This window comes from Homo sapiens, chromosome X (genome assembly GCF_000001405.40).
Source record: "Homo sapiens chromosome X, GRCh38.p14 Primary Assembly".
Taxonomy (NCBI): domain Eukaryota; kingdom Metazoa; phylum Chordata; class Mammalia; order Primates; family Hominidae; genus Homo; species Homo sapiens.
This window is the reverse complement of record NC_000023.11, coordinates 49137998-49156787: the sequence shown is the minus strand read 5'-3', so window position 1 is coordinate 49156787 and position 18790 is coordinate 49137998. Positions and strand designations below refer to the sequence as shown.

Sequence of the window (18790 nt, the reverse complement as noted above, 5' to 3'; positions counted from 1 at the left end):
CCCCTGAGATATCGTGGATGAAGAGTTGGGCATCCAGGGTGATTAGGGGGCAGTCGAGGACCTCACGGGGTGTTCGGAGGTGTCTAGGACTATTGCAGTCAAACAGCGATCTCCAGGGACACCGTGAGAGCAGGCTGGGGGTGCACCCGCTACCCGCGATGGTCGGGGATCGCATGAGAGGGGAGGGACAGCAGTGACCTCCGAAACTACCGAGGGAGTGGCCAGGGGTCGCCGGGTATCCTGAGGGGCATTTCTAGTCTTTGAGCGTCCGGAAGCATGGGGGTTGGCGGAGGCCGATGGTCGGCGTTGACCTGTCCCCTCTTGCGCGCAGGCCTGGGCCCCTCCCGCCCGCGTGCCCCAGCGCCCTTCCGCTCCTGGCGCGGCTGGACGCGCGCCCCCTGGCTGCGAGGGCTGCGGTCGATGTGGCGGCGCTAGTACACAGGGCGGGCGCCACATTGCGCCTGCGCCGGAAGGAGGGTGTGTGACGGGGGTGGGGCCTCCCAGGGGGCAGGTTCGGAGAGGAGCTGGGTTCAGAGGAGCAGGCCTGGGGGGTCAGCAGCTACTGCCCTGCCTTGGGTGGGGCCAAGGGGCGCGATTTGGGAGGGCGGGGATCGGAGGATGCTTCGGAGGATGCTTCGAAGGATCCTTGGGGTTATCCTAGAATATTCCTTGAGGGTTATCGCAGTAGGTGAGGGCCAGATTAGTTGAGTGTGCGTAGCTGGATCCCCGTTCTGGTCGGCGGGGCCTTGAGGGTCCTTTCCGAGGGCTTGAGGCCTGGAGAGTGCTGGGGGCGAGCACGCAGCGAAGGGGCAGGCCTGAAATGTGAGTCATGGGGATGGAGCCTATAGGCCCATGGGGGCGGGGCTTGCGATGTCAGGAATGGGATGACGGTTAGAGGCTGATTAAAGGGTGTGCTCTGGAAGGTTCGGGAGTCAAATTTTTTTTATTATCATTATTATACTTTAAGTTCCAGGGTACATGTGCACAACGTGCAGGTTTGTTACATATGTATACATGTGCCATGTTGGTGTGTTGCATCCATTAACTCATCATTTACATTAGGTATATCTCCTAATGCTATCCCTCCCCCATCCCTCCACCCCACGACAGGCCCCGGTGTGCGATGTTCCCCACAGGAGCCAAATTTTGAAGTAGCATTCTCCAGGGTGGGCCGAATGGAGTTTGCCTGTGTGTGTGACCATATTTGGAGATAATCCTAAAGGTGTTATTTGAGAAATGTTTTCTGCGCTTTATTAAAGGGAGATAGGAAGATAAGGTCTGGAGGTGTTCAAATGGCCGGGCCCAAGATTCTTTAAGGAGGTGGAGCTTTGGGGATTACTTGAGATGAGGGTGGGGAGACAGTTTAATTGGAGGCGTGGCTCGGACGTAAATTCAAGGAGCTGCGGCTAGAAAGTGAATTTAAGGGGCGGGGCTGAGACAATTTCTATGGAGAGTCTCTAACCGCTTTCTCCGCCTCTTCAATCCCCTAGCCTTTATCGTTCTGGGCTGTAAGGACAATAATGTCATGGATAGTCGTCTGCCCCACAGACCCCCTTGCCTTTCATGCAGAGGTTCTATCATGACAAATACAGCCAGGCGTGAAAAACCTTGGGTACTTTTCTGGAGCTGTGAACAGTACGTGGCTCTGGAGTCTGCCTTAATGAACCTTGGGGGCGGGAGGCTTACAAGGGTATGGGGAAGGATGGAAGGTGAAGAAGGGCAGTGGACAAAGCTAGGCTGAAAACATAGCACAAGCCCTGAGCCAATATGGAGAATTGGGTAAGACTCCAAACTCTGGTGCTAGGCAGCCTGGGTTCAAGTCTGACTGCTTTTACCTGCTTCCTCACCTTCAGTATGTTATTTAAGCTCTTTGTGAAAAGCTTAGCTGCAGCCATACAAAAGAATGAGATCATGTCCTTTGCAGGGACATGGATGGAGTTGGAGACCATTATCCTTTACAAACTAACGCAGGAACAGAAAACCAAGTACTGCATGTTCTCAGTATAAGTGGGAGCTAAATGATGAGAACACATGAACACATAGAGAGGAACAATACACACTGGGGCCTATTGGAGATTGGAGGATGGGAGGAGGGAGAGGATCAGGAAAAATAACTAATGGTTACCAGACTTAATACCTGGGGGATGAAATAATCTGTACAACAAACCCCCATCACACACGTTTATCTATGTAACAAACCTGCACATGTACCCCTTAACTTTTTTTTTTTTTTGAGACAGAGTCTCGCTCTGTTGCCCAGGCTGAAGTGCAATGGCGCCATCTCGGCTCATTGAAACCTCTGCCTCCTGCCTCAGCCTTCTGAGTAGCTGGGATTACAGGTGCCCGCCACCACGCCCAGCTAATGTTTGTATTTTTAGTGGAGATGGGGTTTCACCATTTTGTCCAGTCTGGTCTTGAACTCCTGGGCCCAAGTGATCCACCCACCTCGGCCTCCCAAAGTGCTGGGATTACAGGCATGAGCCACTGCTCTGGGCCACCCCTGAAACTAAAAATTAAAAAAAAAAAATACTAGACCAGGCACGGTGGCTCACGCCTGTAATCCCAGCACTTTGGGAGGCCAAGGTGGGCAGATCACGAGGTCAGGAGATCGAGACGATCCTGGCTAACATGGTGAAACCCCGTCTCTACTAAAAATACAAAAAAAATTAGCTGGACATGGTGGCGGGCACCTGTAGTCCCAGCTACTTGGGAGGCTGAGGCAGGAGAATGGCATGAACCTGGGAGGTGGAGCTTGTGGGGAGCCGAGATTGCGCCACTGCACTCCAGCCTGGGCAACAGAGCCAGACTCCATCTCAAAAACAAATAAACAAACAAACAAACAAAACTAACAGAAAAGAGAAAGAAAGAAAAACTTAGCTACTCGAATGTAAACAAAATACATATATTCATGTTAAGAATCAGAACAACAACAAAAAACCAAAACCATGTAACCTGTATTTTTCTGAATCAACTTTCAGACTTTTTGTTTGAAATACAGGAGATCATGGGTAGAAAATTATTGCAATCTTTTAATAACTTTTTAATAGACATTGAGATATATATATAATTTACATACCATACAATTCACCCATTTAAAGTGTACACTTGGTTTTAGTATATTCACAAGATTGTGCAATCATCATCCCATTGTAAATTTAGAACATTTTTGTCTTCCTAAAAGAAACCCCATGCCAGTCGCAGTGGCTCATGTCTGTAATACCAACACTTTGGGAGGCTGAAGCAGGAGGATCACTTGAGCCCAGGAGTTCCAGACCAGCCTGGGCAACATAGTGAGACCCTGTCTCTCCTAAAAGTAAAAAATAAAGGTTGGGCATGGTGGCTCACGCCTTTAATCCCAGCACTTTGGGAGGCCAAGGTGGGCGGATCACAAGGCCAGGAGATCGAGACCATCCTGGCCAACATGGTAAAACCCCATCTCTACTAAAAATACATAAATTAGTTGGGTGCAGTGGCGCGTGCCTGTAATCCCAGCTACTCGGGAGGTTGAGCCACAAGAATCGCTTGAATCCAAGAGGCAGAGGTTGCAGTGAGCCGTGATCGTGCCACTGCACTCCAGCCTGGTGACAGAGCAAGACTCCATCTCAAAAAATAAATAAATCAAAAAAAAAAATAAAAATGTAGCCTGACATGATGGCAAATGCCTGTAGTCTAGGTACTTCAGGGGTTGAGGCAGAAGAATCACTTGAGCAGGAGAGGTGGATGTTACAGTGAGTCCTGATCACACCACTGCACTCCAGGCTAGGCAACAGAGCAAGACCCTGTCTCAATGAATGAATGAATGAATGAATGAATAAATAAATAAACCCTATAGCCTTTTTTTAGAGAGATGGGATCTTGCTATGTTGCCCAGGCTGGAGTGCAGTGGCTATTCACAGTTGCGATACCACTACTGAGAAGCACAGGAGTTTTGACCTGCTGTTTCCAGCGTGGGTAGATTCACCCCTCCTTAGGCAATCTGGTGGTGCCCAGTCCTGAGAGGTCACCATATTGATGACAAAGTTAGTGTGAACACCCAATCAGCATAGCACACTACAGCCCGAACTCCTGGACTCAAGTGAGCCACCTGCCTCAGACTCCCGAGTAGTTGAGACCGCAGGCACGGTCACAGAGTCTGCCCCACAACCTTTAGCTCTACTTCTCCAGCCCTTGGCAACCATTAACACACTATCTCTACGGATATGCTTATTCTCATTTCCTAAATATTGAATCATACAATATGTGGTCTTTTGTGATTTCCTTCCCAAGGCACAATGTTTTTGAAGTTCTATGTTGTAGCCTGTGCCAGTACCTCACTCCTTTATACTGCTAATTAATATTTCTTGTATGGGCATACCATATTTTATTTATACATTCATTGGTAAATGAACATTTGGATTGTTTCCACTTTTTGGCTATTATAAATAATGCTGCCCTGAACATTTGTGTATGAATTTTTGAGTGGACATATGTTTTCATTTATCTTGAGTATATACCTAGGGGTAGAATTGTTGGGTAAGTTTAACATTCTGAGGAGCTATTAAACTATATTCCAAAGTCACTGCAACATTTTACAATCCCACCAGCAATGTATGAGGTTCCCAATTTCTCCAAGTCGTCTCTAACACTTGTTATTGTCTATATATTTTTTTGAGAGAGGGTCTCGATCTGTTGCCCAGGCTGGAGTGAAGTGGCACCATCTCGGCTCACTGCAAAAAAAACCTCCACCTCCCGGGTTCAAGTGATTCTTGCACCTCAGTCTCCTCAGTAGCTGGGATTACAGGTGTGCATCCCCACACCTGGCTATTTTTTTATTGTATTTTTAGTAAAGACAGGGTTTTGCCATGTTGGCCAGGCTAGTCTAGATCTCCTGGCCTCAAATGATCCACCCACCTCAGCCTCGCAAAGTGCTGGAATTACAGGCATGAGCCACCACTCTCTGCCTTATCTGTATTTTATGTATTTATTTTTTTGACATGGAGTCTTGCTCCGGCCCAGACTGGAGTGCAGTGGTGTGATCTCACCTTAATGCAACCTCTGCCTCCCGGGTCCAAGCGATTCTCCCACCTCAGCCTCCCAAGTACCTGGGACTACAGGTGAGTGCCACCACACCCAGCTAATTTTTGTATTTTTAGTAGAGATGGGGTTTTGCCATTTTGGCCAGGCTGGTCTCAAACTCCTGACCTCAAGGGATTACCCACCTCAGCCTCCCAAAGTGCTGGGATTACAAGTGTGAGCCACCGTGCCTGGCCCCTTGTCTGTATTTTTTAATATAACATCCTAGTGGATGTGAGGTTGGATCTCATTATGGTTGATTTGCATTTTCCTAATAAATAATTATGTTTTTATATGCTTTAGATAAATGTTTTGATAGGCAGAACAATAAGCTCCCAAAGATGTTCACCTCCTAATCCCTAGAACCTGTGAATATGTTACCTTATATGGCAAAAGATACATTGCAGATGTGATTAAGGATCTTGAAATGGGGAGATTATCCTGGATTATTGAGGGGGGCAATATAGTCAAAGGAGTTCTTAAAAATAAAAGAGGATGCAGGAGAATCAGTGAAGAAAATATGACAAGGGATGAAAAGGAAATGTGAAGCAGGGGTGATAGAGAAAGATTTGAAGATGGAGGAAGTGCTAGCCGGGCACAGTGGCTAGCGGGCGGACCACCTGAGGTCAAGAGTTTGAGACCAGCCTGGCCAACATGGTGAAACCCCGTCTCTACTAAAAATACAAAAATTAGCCGGGCGGTGGCACACGCCTGTAATCCCAACTACTCGGGAAGGTGAGGCAGGAGAATTGCTTGAACCCAGGAGGCAGAGGTTGCAGTGAGCAGAGATCTCGCCATTGCACTCCAGCATGGGCAACAAAAGCGAAACTCCATCTCAAGAAAAAAAAAAGAAGAAAAAGTGGCCGGGCGCGGTGGCTCACGCCTGTAAGCACAGCACTTTGGGAGGCCGAGGCGGGCAGATCACGAGGTCAGGAGATCGAGACCACAGTGAAACCCCGTCTCTATTAAAAATACAAAAAATTAGCCGGGCGTGGTGGCAGGCGCCTGTAGTCCCAGCTATTTGGGAGGCTGAGGCAGGAGAATGGCGTGAACCTGGGAGGCGGAGCTTGCAGTGAGCCGAGATCACGCCATTGCACTCCAGCCTGGGTGACAGAGCGAGACTCCGCCTCAAAAAAAAAAAAAAAGAAAAGAAAAAGAAAAAGATGGAGGAAATGGCCACATACCAAGGAATGCAGGCCACCTGTAGAAGCTTAAAAAGGCAAGGAAAACAGATTCTCCACAAGGAAGGCAGCCCTGCTGACACCTTGATATTAGCCTGATGAGAATTCTGCCCTACAGAACTGTAAGACATTTTGTGGTGTTGTTTCAAGCCAGTAAATGTATGGTAATTTGTTAGAGCAGCAATCAGAAATTAATACAGATTTTAAGCATCTTTTCATTGTGCTTATTGGCCATTTGTGCATGTGTATATACATATATATATATAAATACATTGTGTGTGTGTATATATGTATATATATATATATATGAGACAGAGTCTTGCTCTGTCACCCAGGCTGGAGTACAGTGGCACGATCTCAGCTCACTGCAACCTCCCCTCCCTGGGTTCAAGGAATTCCCCCTGCGTCAGCCTCCTGAGTAGCTGGGATCACAGGCATGCGCCACCACACCAGCTAATTTTTGTATTTGTAGCAGAGATGGGGCTTCACCATGTTGGCCAGGCTGGTCTTGAACTCCTGACCTCAGATGATCTGCCCACCTCAGCCTCCCAAAGTGCTGGGGTTACAGGCGTGAGCCACCGCACCCAGCCAATTTTGAGCTAACTTTTAAAAAATTATTTATTTGTCGCCAGGTTGGAGTGCAGTGGTGCAATCTCGGCTCACTGCAAGCTCTGCCTCCCGGGTTCATGCCATTCTCCTGCCTCAGCCTCCCGAGTAGCTGGGTCTACAGCCACCCGCCACCACACCTGGCTAATTTTTTGTATTTTTAGTAGAGATGGGGTTTCACTGTGTTAGCCAGGATAGTCTCAATCTCCTGACCTTGTGATCTGCCTGCCTCGGCCTCCTGAAGTGCTGGGATTACAGGCATGAGCCACCGCGCCCAGCCTTTTTTTTTGGAGATGGAGTCTTGCTCTATTGCCCAGGCTGGAGTGCAATGGCGCGATCTCAGCTCACTGCAACCTCCGCCTCCTAGGTTCAAGCAATTCTCCTGTGTCAGCCTCCTGAGTAGTTGGGATTACAGGCGCGCACCACCATGCCTGGCTAATTTTTGTATTTTTGGTAGAGACAGGGTTTCACCATGTTGGTCAGGCTGGTCTCAAACTCCGGACCTCGTGATCCACCTGCTTCGGCCTCCCAAAGTGCTGGGATTACAGGCGTAAGCTACTGCACCCGGCCCTGAATGCCTATTTTTTCTTGCCTAATTGCCGTGGCTAGAACTTCTAATATGATATTGAATAGAAGGAGCAAGAGCAGACGCTCTTGTTTTGTTCCTGATCTTAGGTGGAAGGTATTCAGTCTTTCACCATTAAATATGATTTTAGCTGTCTTCTGGGCTCTCTTGTTTCTGATGAGAAGTCAACTCTTAATCTTATTGGAGTTTCCTTATAGGTGACAGGTCATTTTTCTATTTGTGCTTGCAAGATATTCTCTTTGGATTTCAAGATTTTTGACCATGATGTGCCTGAGTGTTTTGTCCTGTCTAACCATGGCTGGAATCTCTCAAAAATGAGCAGTAAGGGAGTTCCCACAAGGGAGTGGCTGAAATTGAGGAGAGAGGCCATTTCTCCTACTGTCCCCTGTCTCCAAAGAAAAGGAGGAAGTAAAAACTGAAAAATAACAGACTGATCGGCACCACTGGCCAGGCCTGTAGGTTAAAGATTAACCCACAACCTAACCGCTTGTGATATCTATATATCACAGACAATGGTATGGAGAAACACTTGCCTTGCTCACCACCCCCACCTAGTCATGTACCCCATGCTTGTTCAATCTATCACGACCCTTTCACGTGGACCCCTTAGAGTTGTAAGCCCTTAAAAGGGCCAGGAACTCTTTCTTAGGGGGGCTTCGTTCTTGAGACGCATGTCTGCCAACGCTCCTGACCAAATAAAGCCTCTTCCTTACATTTCTTGGTTCCCTGACCGGGAAGCGAGGTGATTAACGATGGTCGAGGCAGCCCCTTAGGCGGCTTAGGCCTGCCCTGCGGAGCATCCCTGCAGGGGACTCCGGCCAGTTTGAGCAACGCGGATCCTGAGAGCACTCCCGGGTAGGCATTTGCCCTCGTGGAACACCTCGTCAGAGCGGTGCATGGCAGGCCCCCACAGAGGATCAATGCAGCGGCTGAACACCAGGAAGGAACTGGCACTTGGAGTCTGGACATCTGGAATATGGTAGGACCAGTCCTGGGAACTTACCCACTCCATTTGAGTGGAAGCGTGGCCTGATCACCCACAGTGTGCCCTTATCGGCACTTTGGTCTCAGTTTTGATTATGATTTGGCTTGGCTTGTTTGAAAAAAAGGAAAGTGAAAGTGAGTGAATGCTTGTTTTAGACGGGCACAGGATGGACAGTGGTCGCCATCCAAAGTGAGCGTTGAGCCCCAAGCTGCAGTTCCGTAGGATACCTCACATGGCTAAGTGGCAGTTCGTGCTGGCGCCTGGTACCAGCCTGCTTAAGCTAAGAGGATCTGAGATTCCCGCGAGGGAAGCGGCCAGTGACTGCCGAGGAGAGTGGGTGACCCCTTTACCCTTTCCCTTCTTGTGTCGTGAGTGCCATTTTTGTCTTGGGTGGGGGTGGAGATGGGTGAGACGCAAAGTAAGACCACTCCATTAGGAACTATGTTAAAGAATTTCAAAAAAGGTTTTAATGGAGATTATGGGGTTACTATGACCCCAGGAAAACTTAGGACCTAAGTGAGATAGATTAGCCAGCATTAGAAGTGGGTTGGCCATCAGAAGGAGGCCTAGACAGGTCCTTTGTTTCAAAGGTATGGCACAAGGTAACTGGTAAGCCAGAAAACCCAGACCACTTTCCATACATAGACACTTGGTTACAGCTGGTTTTAGACCCCCTACAGTGGTTAAGAGGACAGGCAGCAGCAGTACTAGTGGCAAAGGGACAGACAGCCAAGGAAGAATCCCGCTTCACCCACTGAGGGAAGTCGGCGCCTAAAGTCCTGTCCGACCCAACATCAAAGGATTCATGGCAAGAAACAGTGCCAGTGGCCCCTCCTTTCACCAAGAAAGAAGGCCTCCCACTCCTGAGGCCACTGTGCCCAAGCTTCCACAAGGCCTACATACCCCTAGGCCACCTAGAGTAGAAAAGAAAGGATGCAAGACCTCAGGAGAAACTCCTCACTTGGTAGCCCATTTGAGGCCTAAAACTGGGATACAAATGCCCCTGAGAGAGCAACGGTATACTGGGGTAAACGAGGACGGGCATATGGTGGAAAGGCGTGCCTTTGTGTACCAACCCTCCACCTCTGCCAATCTCCTCAATTGGAAAAACAATACCCCATCCTATACTGAAAAGCCTCAGGCTATAATTGATTTGCTCCAAACTATTATCCAGACCCACAACCCTACTTGGGCTGATTGCCACCAGTTGCTCATGTGCCTGTTTAACACGGATGAACGGCGAAGGGTGCTCCAAGCAGCGACTAAGTGGCTAGAGGAACATGTTCCGGCTGATTACAAAAACCCCCAAGAGTATGTGATGGCCCAGTTACCAGGAACAGACCCCCAGTGGGACCCAAATGAAAGACAGGGTATGCAAAGGCTAAACTGGTAGAGGGAAGCCCTCCTGGAAGGGTTAAAGAAAGGAGCTCAGAAGGCCACCAATATAAATAAAATATCTGAGGTTATTCAAGGAAAGGAAGAGAGTCCAGCACAATTTTACGAGAGACTATGTGAGGCCTATTGTATGTATACTCCCTTTGATCCCAACAACCCTGAAAACCAGCGCATGATTAACATGGCTTTAGTTAGTCAAAGTGCAGAAGACATTAGAAGAAAACTACATAAGCAGGCTGGGTTTGCAGGCATGAACACTTCACAGTTATTGGAGATAGCCAACCAGGTGTTTGTGAATAGAGATGCTGTAAGCCGCAGAGAGAACTGCAGAGAGAGCGAACGCCAAGCCCAGCGAAACGCCGACCTGCTAGCCACAGCAATAGAGGGGTCCCCCCCGAAGGGGCGAGAAAGGGGGGCCCCAGGAAAAATACCCAGTCCGGCCATCCACGCTTGCAGCGTAACCAGTGTGCTTACTGTAAGGAAATGGGATGTTGGAAGGACAAGTGCCCCCAGTTGAAAGGGAAACAAGGTGACTGAGCAGGAGGCCTCAGACAAGGACGAAAGGGCCTTGTTTAATCTGGCAGAAGGGTTACTGGACTGAGGGGGACTAGGCTCATGTGCACCCAAAGAGCCCATGGTCAGAATGACAGTCGGGGGCAAGGACATTGAGTTTCTTGTCGATACTGGTGCTGAACATCCAGTAGTAACCACCCTGGTCGCCCCCTTATCCAAAAAGACTATTGATATAATCAGAACCACGGGGGTTTCGGCAAAGCAAGCTTTCTGTTTGCCCTGGACCTGCACTGTCGGGGGACATGAGGTAATTCACCAGTTCCTGTACATGCCTGACTGCCCCTTGCCTTTACTGGGAAGGGACCTACTTAGCAAGCTGAGAGCCACTATCTCTTTTACAAAGCATGGCTCTTTACAGCTAAAGTTACCTGGAAAGGGAGTCATCATGGCCCTTATGGTTCCTCGGGAGGAGGAATGGAGACTCTTCTTAGCTGAGCCAGGCCAAGAGATAGGACCAGCTCTGGCTAAGCGGTGGCCAAGGGTGTGGGAGGAAGACAACCCGCCAGGGTTGGCAATCAACCAGGCCCCCATACTAATAGAAGTTAAGCCTGGGGCCCAGCTGGTCAGGCAAAAGCAGTACCTGGTCCCCAGAGAAGCCCTTGAGGGCATCCGGGTCCATCTCAAGCATCTGAGGGCCTTTGGAATTATAGTCCTTTGTCAGTCTCCATGGAACACTCCCCTCCTACCTGTTCCCAAGCTGAGGACCAAGGACTACAGGCCAGTACAGGATTTGCATATGGTCAACCAAGCAAAGTGACTTTGCATCCAACCCATACACATTGTTGGGGTTGCTGCCAGCTGAGGACAGCTGGTTCACCTGCTTGGACCTAAAAAATGCTTTCTTTAGCATCAGACTATCTCCTGAGAGCCAAAAACTGTTTGCCTTTCAGTGGGAGGATCTGGAGTCAGCTGTCACCACTCAGTACACTTGGACCCGGCTCCCCCAAGGGTTCAAGAACTCCCCCACCATCTTCGGGGAGGCACTGGCTCGAGACCTCCAGAAAATTCCCACCAGAGACCTAGGCTTCGTGCTGCTCCAGTACGTTGACAACTTCCTGCTGGGACACCCCATGGCAGTCATGTGTGCCAAGGGAATGGATACCCTGCTCTGGCACCTGGAGGACTATAGGTATAAGGTGTCCAAGAAGGAAGCTCAGATCTGCAGATAGCAGGTATGTTACCTGGGATTTACTATCCGACAGGGAGAGCACAGCCTGGGATCAGAAAGAAAGCAAGTCATCTGCAACCTGCTGGAGCCTAAGACCAGAAGGCAGGTGAGAGAATTCTTAGGAGCTGTAGGGTTCTGCAGATTGTGGATCCCAAACTTTGCAGTATTGGCTAAGCCCCTGTACGGAGTCACAAAGTGAGGAGACACAGAACTTTTCAAATGGGGGTCCCAACAGCAATGAGCTTTTCATGAGTTAAAAGAGAAACTCATGTCGGCCCCAGCCCTGGGGCTACCTGACCTAACAAAACCTTTCACACTGTATGTGTCAGAGAGAGAAAAAATGGCCATTGGAGTTTTAATCCAGATGGTGGGGCCCTGGCCAAGACCGGTAGCCTACCTCTCCAAAGAGCTAGATGGAGTTTCTAAGGCAAGGTCTGAAAGATGCGAGATGTAGAAGTACCAGCCTAACAACTTTTCAAGTGACTCTTGGCCTAGGTGGGTGGTCTCATGCACAGCCAGTATGACTGCGGCTCCTAGCAGTTGTGGCATGGCTATTCTTCCATCCGACAACTGGATCCATCCCTCTTCTATCACCTGCCCTCCCTCTGCCTGGAGAAAGTCCAGGCAGGATGAATTGCTGGTGAATTATCTCATGCCCCCTGACAGTGCAGGTCTGGGGCAAACAGAAAGCTTGCTTTGCCGAAACCCCCGTGGCTCCAATTATATCAATAGTCTTTTTGGATAAGGGGGCGACTGGGGTGGTTACTACTGAATGTTCAGCACCAGTATCGACAAGAATTATCTGTCGATAATTGAGCCTGGCCCCTGTGCTTAAGAGCCTTGGCAGCAACTGCCCTGCTAGCACTAGAGGCAGATAAGCTACCTCTTGCCCTAACTTTATGTTTAGGGCAAAACCTAAACATAAAGGCCCCCTAGCTGGGCACGGTGGTTCACGCTTGTAATACCAGCACTTTGGGAGGCTGAGGCGGGCGGGTCATGAGGTCAGGAGATCGAGATCATCCTGGCTAACACGGTGAAACCCCATCTCTACTAAAAATACAGAAAAATTAGCCGGGCATGGTGGCGGGCGCCTGTAGTCCCAGCTACTCGGGAGGCTGAGGCAGGAGAATGGCGTGATCCCGGGAGGCAGAGCTTGCAGTGAGCCAAGATCGCACCACTGCACTCCAGCCTGGGCAACAGAGTGAGACTCCATCTCAAAAAAAAGAAAAAACATAAAGGCCTCCCCATGCTGTGGTAACACTAATGAACACCAAAGGACGTAACTGGCTAACGAATGCTAGACTAACTAGGTACCAAAGCTTGCTCTGTGAGAATCCCCGCATAACCATTGAAGTTTGCAACACCCTGAACCCCGCCACCTTGCTCCTGGTATCAGAGAGCCAAGTTGAACATAACTGTGTAGAGGTGTTGCAGTCAGTTTATTCTAGCAGGCCCGACCTCCGAGACCATCCTTGGACAACAGTAGACTGGGAGCTGTACGTGGACGGGAGCAGCTTTGTCGACCCACAAGAAGAGAGGTGTGTAGGATATGGTAATCCTGGATGCTGTCATTGAAGCCAAATCGTTGCCCTAGGGCACTTCAGCCCGCAAGACCAAACTCATTGCTTTAATTCTGGCCTTTGAGCTAAGTGAAGGTAAGACTGTAAACATTTACACTGACTCTTGGTATGCCTTTTTAACTCTCCAACTGCGTGGGGCATTCTACAAGGAAAAAGCCCTGTTGAACGCTGGGAGAAAAGACATAAAGTATCAGCAAGAGATCCTGCAATTATTAGAGGCAGTGTGGAAGCCCCAAAAGGTGGCTCATGCACTGCAGAGGACACCAGCGAGCTTCTACCTCGATTGCCTTGGGGAACCCCCAAGCTGACTCAGAGGCTCGAAAAGCAGCATCCACCCCCTACCAGGCATCAGTCACAGCCCCCTGCTCCCTCAGGCACCTGACCTTGTACCTACTTATTCTAAAGAGAAGGACTTTCTCCAGGCAGAGGGAGGGCAGGTGATAGAAGAGGGATGGATCCAGTTATCGGATGGAAGAATAGCTGTGCCACAACTGCTAGGAGCCGCAGTCATACTGGCTGTGCATGAGACCACCCACCTAGGCCAAGAGTCACTTGAAAAGTTGTTAGGCTGGTACTTCTACATCTTGCATCTTTCAGCCCTTGCCAAAACAGTGGCGCAGCAGTGTGTCACCTTCTGGCAGCACAATGCTAGGCAAGGTCTAACCATCCCCGCCAGCATACAAGCTTATGGAGCAGCCCCTTTTGAAGATCTCCAAGTAGACTTCACCAAGATGCCCAAATGTGGAGGTAACAAGTATTTGCTAGTTCTAGTGTGTACATACTCTGGGTGGGTGGAGGCCTATCCAACACGGACCGAGAAAGCTCGTGAAGTAACCCATGTGCTTCTCCGAGATCTCATCCCTAGGTTTGGACTGCCCTTACAAATCAGCTCAGACAACGGGCCGGCATTTGTGGCTGACTTGTTACAGAAGACAGCAAAGGTATTGGGGATCACATGGAAACTACATACCACCTACTGACCACAAAGTTCCGGAAAGGTGAAGCAGATGAATCGCACTATCGGAAATAGTTTAGGGAAAGTGTGTCAAGAAACAGGATTAAAGTGGGTACAAGCTCTCCCTATGGTATTATTTAAGATTAGATGTACCCCTTCTAGAAGAACAGGATATTCCCCTTATGAAATATTATATCATAGGCCCCCTCCCATACTACGGGGACTCCCAGGCACTCCTCGAGAGCTAGGTGAAATTGCGTTACAGCGACAGCTACAGGCTTTAGGGAAAATTACACAATTTCAGCCTGGGTAAATGAGAGGTGCCCCGGCAGCTTATTCTCCCCAGTTCACCCTTTCTCCCCAGGTGATCAGGTGTGGATCAAGGATTGGAACATAGGCTCCTTGCGGCCACGGTGGAAAGGACCCCAGACCATCATCTTGACCACTCCCACAGCCGTAAAGATAGAGGGAATCCCAGCCTGGATCCAACACAGCCAGGTAAAACCTGCAGCACCTGAGACCTGGGAGGTGAGACCAAGCCTAGATAACCCCTGCAAAGTGACTCTGAAGAAGATGACAAGCCCTGCTCCAGTCACACTCAGAAGCTGACTGGTCCACGCATGGCCAAAGCATGAGAAAACTCATCGTGGGACTCATTTTCCTTAAATTTTGGACTTGTACAGTAAGGACTTCAGCTGACCTTCCTCAGACTGAGAACTGTTCCCAGTCACTAAGGTAGGACAAAATCAAGTCACTAAGGTAGGACAAAAGGTTGCTGCAGTCCTATTATTTTATAGTTAGTATGAGTGTACTGGGACTCTAAAAGGAACTTGTTTGTATAATGCTACTCTATACAAGGTATGTAGCCCAGGAAGTGACCAGTCTGATGTGTACTATAACCCATCTGAGCCCCCCTATGACTACTGTTTTTGAAATAAGATCGAGGACTGGCAGCTGGGGAAAAGCTGATACTAGTAAAGTAATAACTAGAACAGAAGAGAAAGGAGTCCCCAAACAAATTATCTTAAAATTTGATGCCTGTGCAGCAATCAACAGTGACCCATATGGAAATAGAATAAGATGTGGCTCTCTAGATTGGGAAAGGGGCTATATAGTAGAAAATAAGTATGTTTGTCATGAATTAGGACTGTGAAGTGATGAATGTAGTTACTGGTCCTGTGTCATTTAGGCCACCTGGAAAAAAAGATGAGAAGGACCCTGTCCGCCTTCAAAAAGGAAAGAGTAACTCTTCCTGCACTAGTGGTCACTGTAACCCATTGAACTACTAATTACCAATCCCCTTGATCCCTGCTGGAAAACAGGAGAGTATGTAACTCTAGGAATCGATGGAACTGGACTGGATCCCTGAGTAAATATTTTAGTCCAAGGGGAGGTCCACAAGCGATCTTCCAAACCAGTGTTTCAGACCTTTTATGATGAGCTGAATCTGCCAGCACCAGAGCTTCCACAAAAAAGGACAAAGAACTTGTTTCTCCAGTTAGCAGAATATGTAGCTCATTCCCTCAATGTTACTTCCTGTTATGTATGTGAGGGAACCACTATGGGAGACTGATGGCCTTGGGAAACCCAAGAATTAGTGCCTACTGATCCAGTTCCTGACATAATTCCAGTCCAGAAGGCCCAAACTAGCAACTTTTGGGTCTTGAAAACCTCTATTAATGGACAATACTGCATACCTAGAAAAGGAAAAGACTTCACCATCCCTGTAGGAAGGCTCAATTGTCTAGGACAGAAGCTGTATAAAAGCATAACAGGGACACAGGGACAGTCACCTGGTGGGGTCTAAACCATACTGAAAATAATCCCTTCAGTAAATTTCCTAAATTACAGACTGCTTAGGCCCATCCACAATCTCATCAAGACTGGATGGCTCCCGCTGGACTATACTGGATATGTAGGCACAGAGCCTACACTCAGTTACCTGATCAATGGGCAGGTAGTTGTGTCATTGGCACCATTAAGCCATCCTTTTTCCTACTGCCCATAAAAACAGGTGACCTCCTAGGTTTCCCTGTCTATGCCTCCCAAGAAAAGAGGAGCATAGCTATAGCAAATTGGAAAGATGATGAGTGGTGCCCCGAAAGGATCATACAGTACTATAGGCCTGCCACATGGGCACAAGACGACTCATAGGGATACCATACCCCCATCTACATGCTCAACTGGATCATACGGTTACAGGCCATCTTAGAAATAATCACTAGTGAAACTGGCAGAGCTTTAACTCTTTTAGCCCAGCAGGAAACCCAAATGAGAAATGCCATCTATCAGAATAGATTGGCCTTAGACTATTTGCTGGCAGCTGAAGGAGGAGTCTGTGAAAAATTCAACTTGACCAAGTGCTGTCTGCAAAGAGATGATCAAGGACAAGTAGTCAAAAATATAGTTAGAGACATGACAAAGCTGGCACATGTACCCATGCAGGTTTGGCATAGGTTTGATCCTGGATCCCTGTTTGGAAAATGGCTTCCAGCTCTAGGAGGATTTAAAACTCTTATAATAGGAATGATAATGGTGTTAGGAACCTGCATGTTACTCCCCTGTATGTTACCCATATTTCTCCAGTTACTAAGAAGCTTCGTTATCACCTTAGTTCATCAAAAGACCTCAGCACAAGTATACTACATGAATCACTATTGATCTGTCTCACAGGAAGATCTAGATAGTGAGGATGATAATGAGAACTCCCACTAGTGAGTGAGGTTCTCAAAGGGGGGAATGAGGAGAGAGGCCATTTCTCCTACTGTCCCCTATCTCCAAAGAAAAGGAGGAAGTAAAAACTGAAAAAATAACAGACTGATCAGCACCACTGGCCAGGCCCGTAGGTTAAAGATTAACCCACACCCTAACCGCTTGTGCTATCTATAGATCACAGACAATGGTATGGAGAAACACTTGCCTTGCTCACCACCCCCACCTAGCCATGTACCCCATGCTTGTTCAATCTATCACGACCCTTTCATGTGGACCCCTTAGAGCTGTAAGCCCTTAAAAGGGCCAAGAACTCTTTCTCTGGGACTCAGTTCTTGAGACGCAAGCCTGCCGATGCTCCTGGCCGAATAAAGCCTCTTCCTTCTTTAACCCAGTGTCTGAGGGGTTCTGTCTGCGGCTCGTCCTGCTACAAAATGATCCTGAGATGGGATGAGTTGGGATTCCAAAAACAGAAGCACTAAATGCCAGGGCGATAAGCCCAAAATGCATATTGGGGGAATTTACATACAGAGTGCTGCAGAGACAGATCGCTTGTGGACCTCCCCTTGGACTAAAATATTTACTCAGGGATCCAGTCCAGTTCCATCGATTCCTAGAGACAGCACTCTGTCCTTATGAGGGACAATGAGAGAAAAGGGGTGTTCTACTTAGGTATGTCCACAGCCAAAGGGTCACGGTATGGAGTTTATATGAGGCTTTAAGGAATTTGTTCAGGGCTAGGGTCAGTTTCTTTCAGTGCTTGGGCAACAACCCAGATACCTTTATCAGTGCCTGGGAATGTTCAAGGCCTTGGTTTGGGTTCAAGCCTGCTGAGAAAAACCTGCAGCTCGCTGGGTGGAAGAATGGCCAAAGCACTCTGTGATTTTAGGTCAGAACACAAAAAGAAAGGAGGAGGAACTCAGGGATCCTACACTAGGTGTGGACCTCTTTGCATTTATCTTACTTGTTCATTGAACTTCTTGGATGTGTAGATTAAAATTTCTCCATCAGGGACCCACGTGGTGACTCATGCCTATAGTCCTAGTACTTTGGGAGGCTTAGGTGGGCAGATCACTTCAGGTCAGGAGTTCAAGAGCAGCCTGACCAACATGGTGAAACCCTGTCTTTACTAAAAATACAAAATTAGCCAGGCATGGTGGTACATGCCTGTAATCCCAGCTACTCAGGAGGCTGAGGCAGGAGAATCGCTTGAACCCAGGAGGCAGAGGTTACAGTGAGCCGAGATTGCGCCATTGCCCTCCAGCCTGGGCAACAAGAGTGAAACTCCGTCTCAAAAAAAAAAAAAAAAAAAAAAAAGGCCAGGCACAGTGGTTCACGCCTGTAATCCCAGCATTTTGGGAGGCCAAGGCGGGTAGATCACCTGAGGCCAGGAGTTTGAGACCAGCCTGGCTAATATGGTGAAACCCCATCTGTAGTAAAAACTACAAAAACTAGCTGGGAGTGGTGGTGGGCACCTGTAATCCCAGCTACTCGGGAGGCTGAGGCAGAGAATTGCTTGAACCCGGGAAGTGAAGGTTGCAGTGAGCTGAGATCACGCCACTGCACTCCAGCTTGGGCAACAGAGCGAGACTTCGTCTCAAAAAAAAAAAAAAAAAAAAGGGAAGAAAGAAAGAAAGAAAGAAAGACAAAAATTAGCTTAGCATGGTTGTGGGCACCTGTAATCCCAGCTGCTCAGGAGGCTGGGGCAGGAGAATCACTTGAACCAGGGAGGTGGAGGTTGCAGTGAGCTGAGATCGAGCCACTGCACTCCAGTCTGGTTGACAGAGGGAGACTCCATCTGAAAAAAAAAGAATAAAGAAAGTTTCTCCATCAGGCTGGGCATGGTGGCTCATGCCTGTAATCCCAACAGGTTGAGAGGCCTAGGATGGAAGATCCCTTGAGCCCAGGAGTTTAAGACCACCCTGGGCATAGCAAGACCACATCTCTACAAATAATAATTTTTTTAAAAACCTGGGCATGGTGGTGTGTGCCTGTAG

The 18790-nt window shown here is 48.5% G+C and overlaps 1 long non-coding RNA gene and 1 pseudogene across 1 annotated transcript, besides 9 other annotated features; one reads left to right on the top strand and one right to left on the bottom strand.

Moving 5' to 3' along the window:
* Nucleotides 170-489: a silencer, noted in NCBI's record as "silent region_20836". NCBI's record gives its function as "represses an Ori minimal core promoter by ATAC-STARR-seq in GM12878 lymphoblastoid cells {active_cell/tissue: GM12878}" and the evidence as "EXISTENCE:reporter gene assay evidence [ECO:0000049][PMID:35858748]".
* Nucleotides 170-1640: a biological region, named in NCBI's record as "CRISPRi-FlowFISH-validated PLP2 regulatory element 1". NCBI's record gives its function as "regulatory_interactions: PLP2".
* Nucleotides 180-1640: a transcriptional cis regulatory region, noted in NCBI's record as "intergenic|chrX:49011485-49012945 region (GRCh37/hg19 assembly coordinates) targeted for CRISPR interference". NCBI's record gives its function as "positively regulates PLP2 gene expression in K562 cells {active_cell/tissue: K562}" and the evidence as "EXISTENCE:mutant phenotype evidence [ECO:0000015][PMID:31784727]".
* Nucleotides 320-464: an enhancer, noted in NCBI's record as "145 bp enhancer 76/77 fragment used in the MPRA reporter construct; PK_construct_4815". NCBI's record gives its function as "activates an SV40 promoter by MPRA in K562 cells {active_cell/tissue: K562}" and the evidence as "EXISTENCE:reporter gene assay evidence [ECO:0000049][PMID:23512712]".
* Nucleotides 384-399: a transcriptional cis regulatory region, noted in NCBI's record as "ZFP161 motif; MPRA enhancer 76/77 activity is reduced when this motif is scrambled". NCBI's record gives its function as "necessary for full MPRA enhancer 76/77 activity {active_cell/tissue: K562}" and the evidence as "EXISTENCE:site-directed mutagenesis evidence [ECO:0005528][PMID:23512712]".
* LOC105373195 (uncharacterized) lies at nt 510-17183 on the top strand. Its single transcript, XR_007068230.1, has 3 exons — nt 510-822; nt 7623-8404; nt 11269-17183. It is a non-coding gene; the product is annotated as an uncharacterized LOC105373195 (long non-coding RNA).
* Nucleotides 680-829: an enhancer, noted in NCBI's record as "active region_29629". NCBI's record gives its function as "activates an Ori minimal core promoter by ATAC-STARR-seq in GM12878 lymphoblastoid cells {active_cell/tissue: GM12878}" and the evidence as "EXISTENCE:reporter gene assay evidence [ECO:0000049][PMID:35858748]".
* Nucleotides 3844-4122, bottom strand: RN7SL262P (RNA, 7SL, cytoplasmic 262, pseudogene; annotated as a pseudogene).
* Nucleotides 7667-8241: a transcriptional cis regulatory region, noted in NCBI's record as "candidate enhancer chrX.1005 targeted for multiplex CRISPR interference". NCBI's record gives its function as "positively regulates expression of the PLP2 gene with high confidence and the EBP gene with lower confidence in K562 cells {active_cell/tissue: K562}" and the evidence as "EXISTENCE:mutant phenotype evidence [ECO:0000015][PMID:30612741]".
* Nucleotides 7698-8198: a transcriptional cis regulatory region, noted in NCBI's record as "intergenic|chrX:49004925-49005425 region (GRCh37/hg19 assembly coordinates) targeted for CRISPR interference". NCBI's record gives its function as "positively regulates PLP2 gene expression in K562 cells {active_cell/tissue: K562}" and the evidence as "EXISTENCE:mutant phenotype evidence [ECO:0000015][PMID:31784727]".
* Nucleotides 8639-8789: a transcriptional cis regulatory region, noted in NCBI's record as "candidate enhancer chrX.1004 targeted for multiplex CRISPR interference". NCBI's record gives its function as "positively regulates PLP2 gene expression with high confidence in K562 cells {active_cell/tissue: K562}" and the evidence as "EXISTENCE:mutant phenotype evidence [ECO:0000015][PMID:30612741]".
* Nucleotides 17184-18790: the final 1607 nt, after the last annotated feature.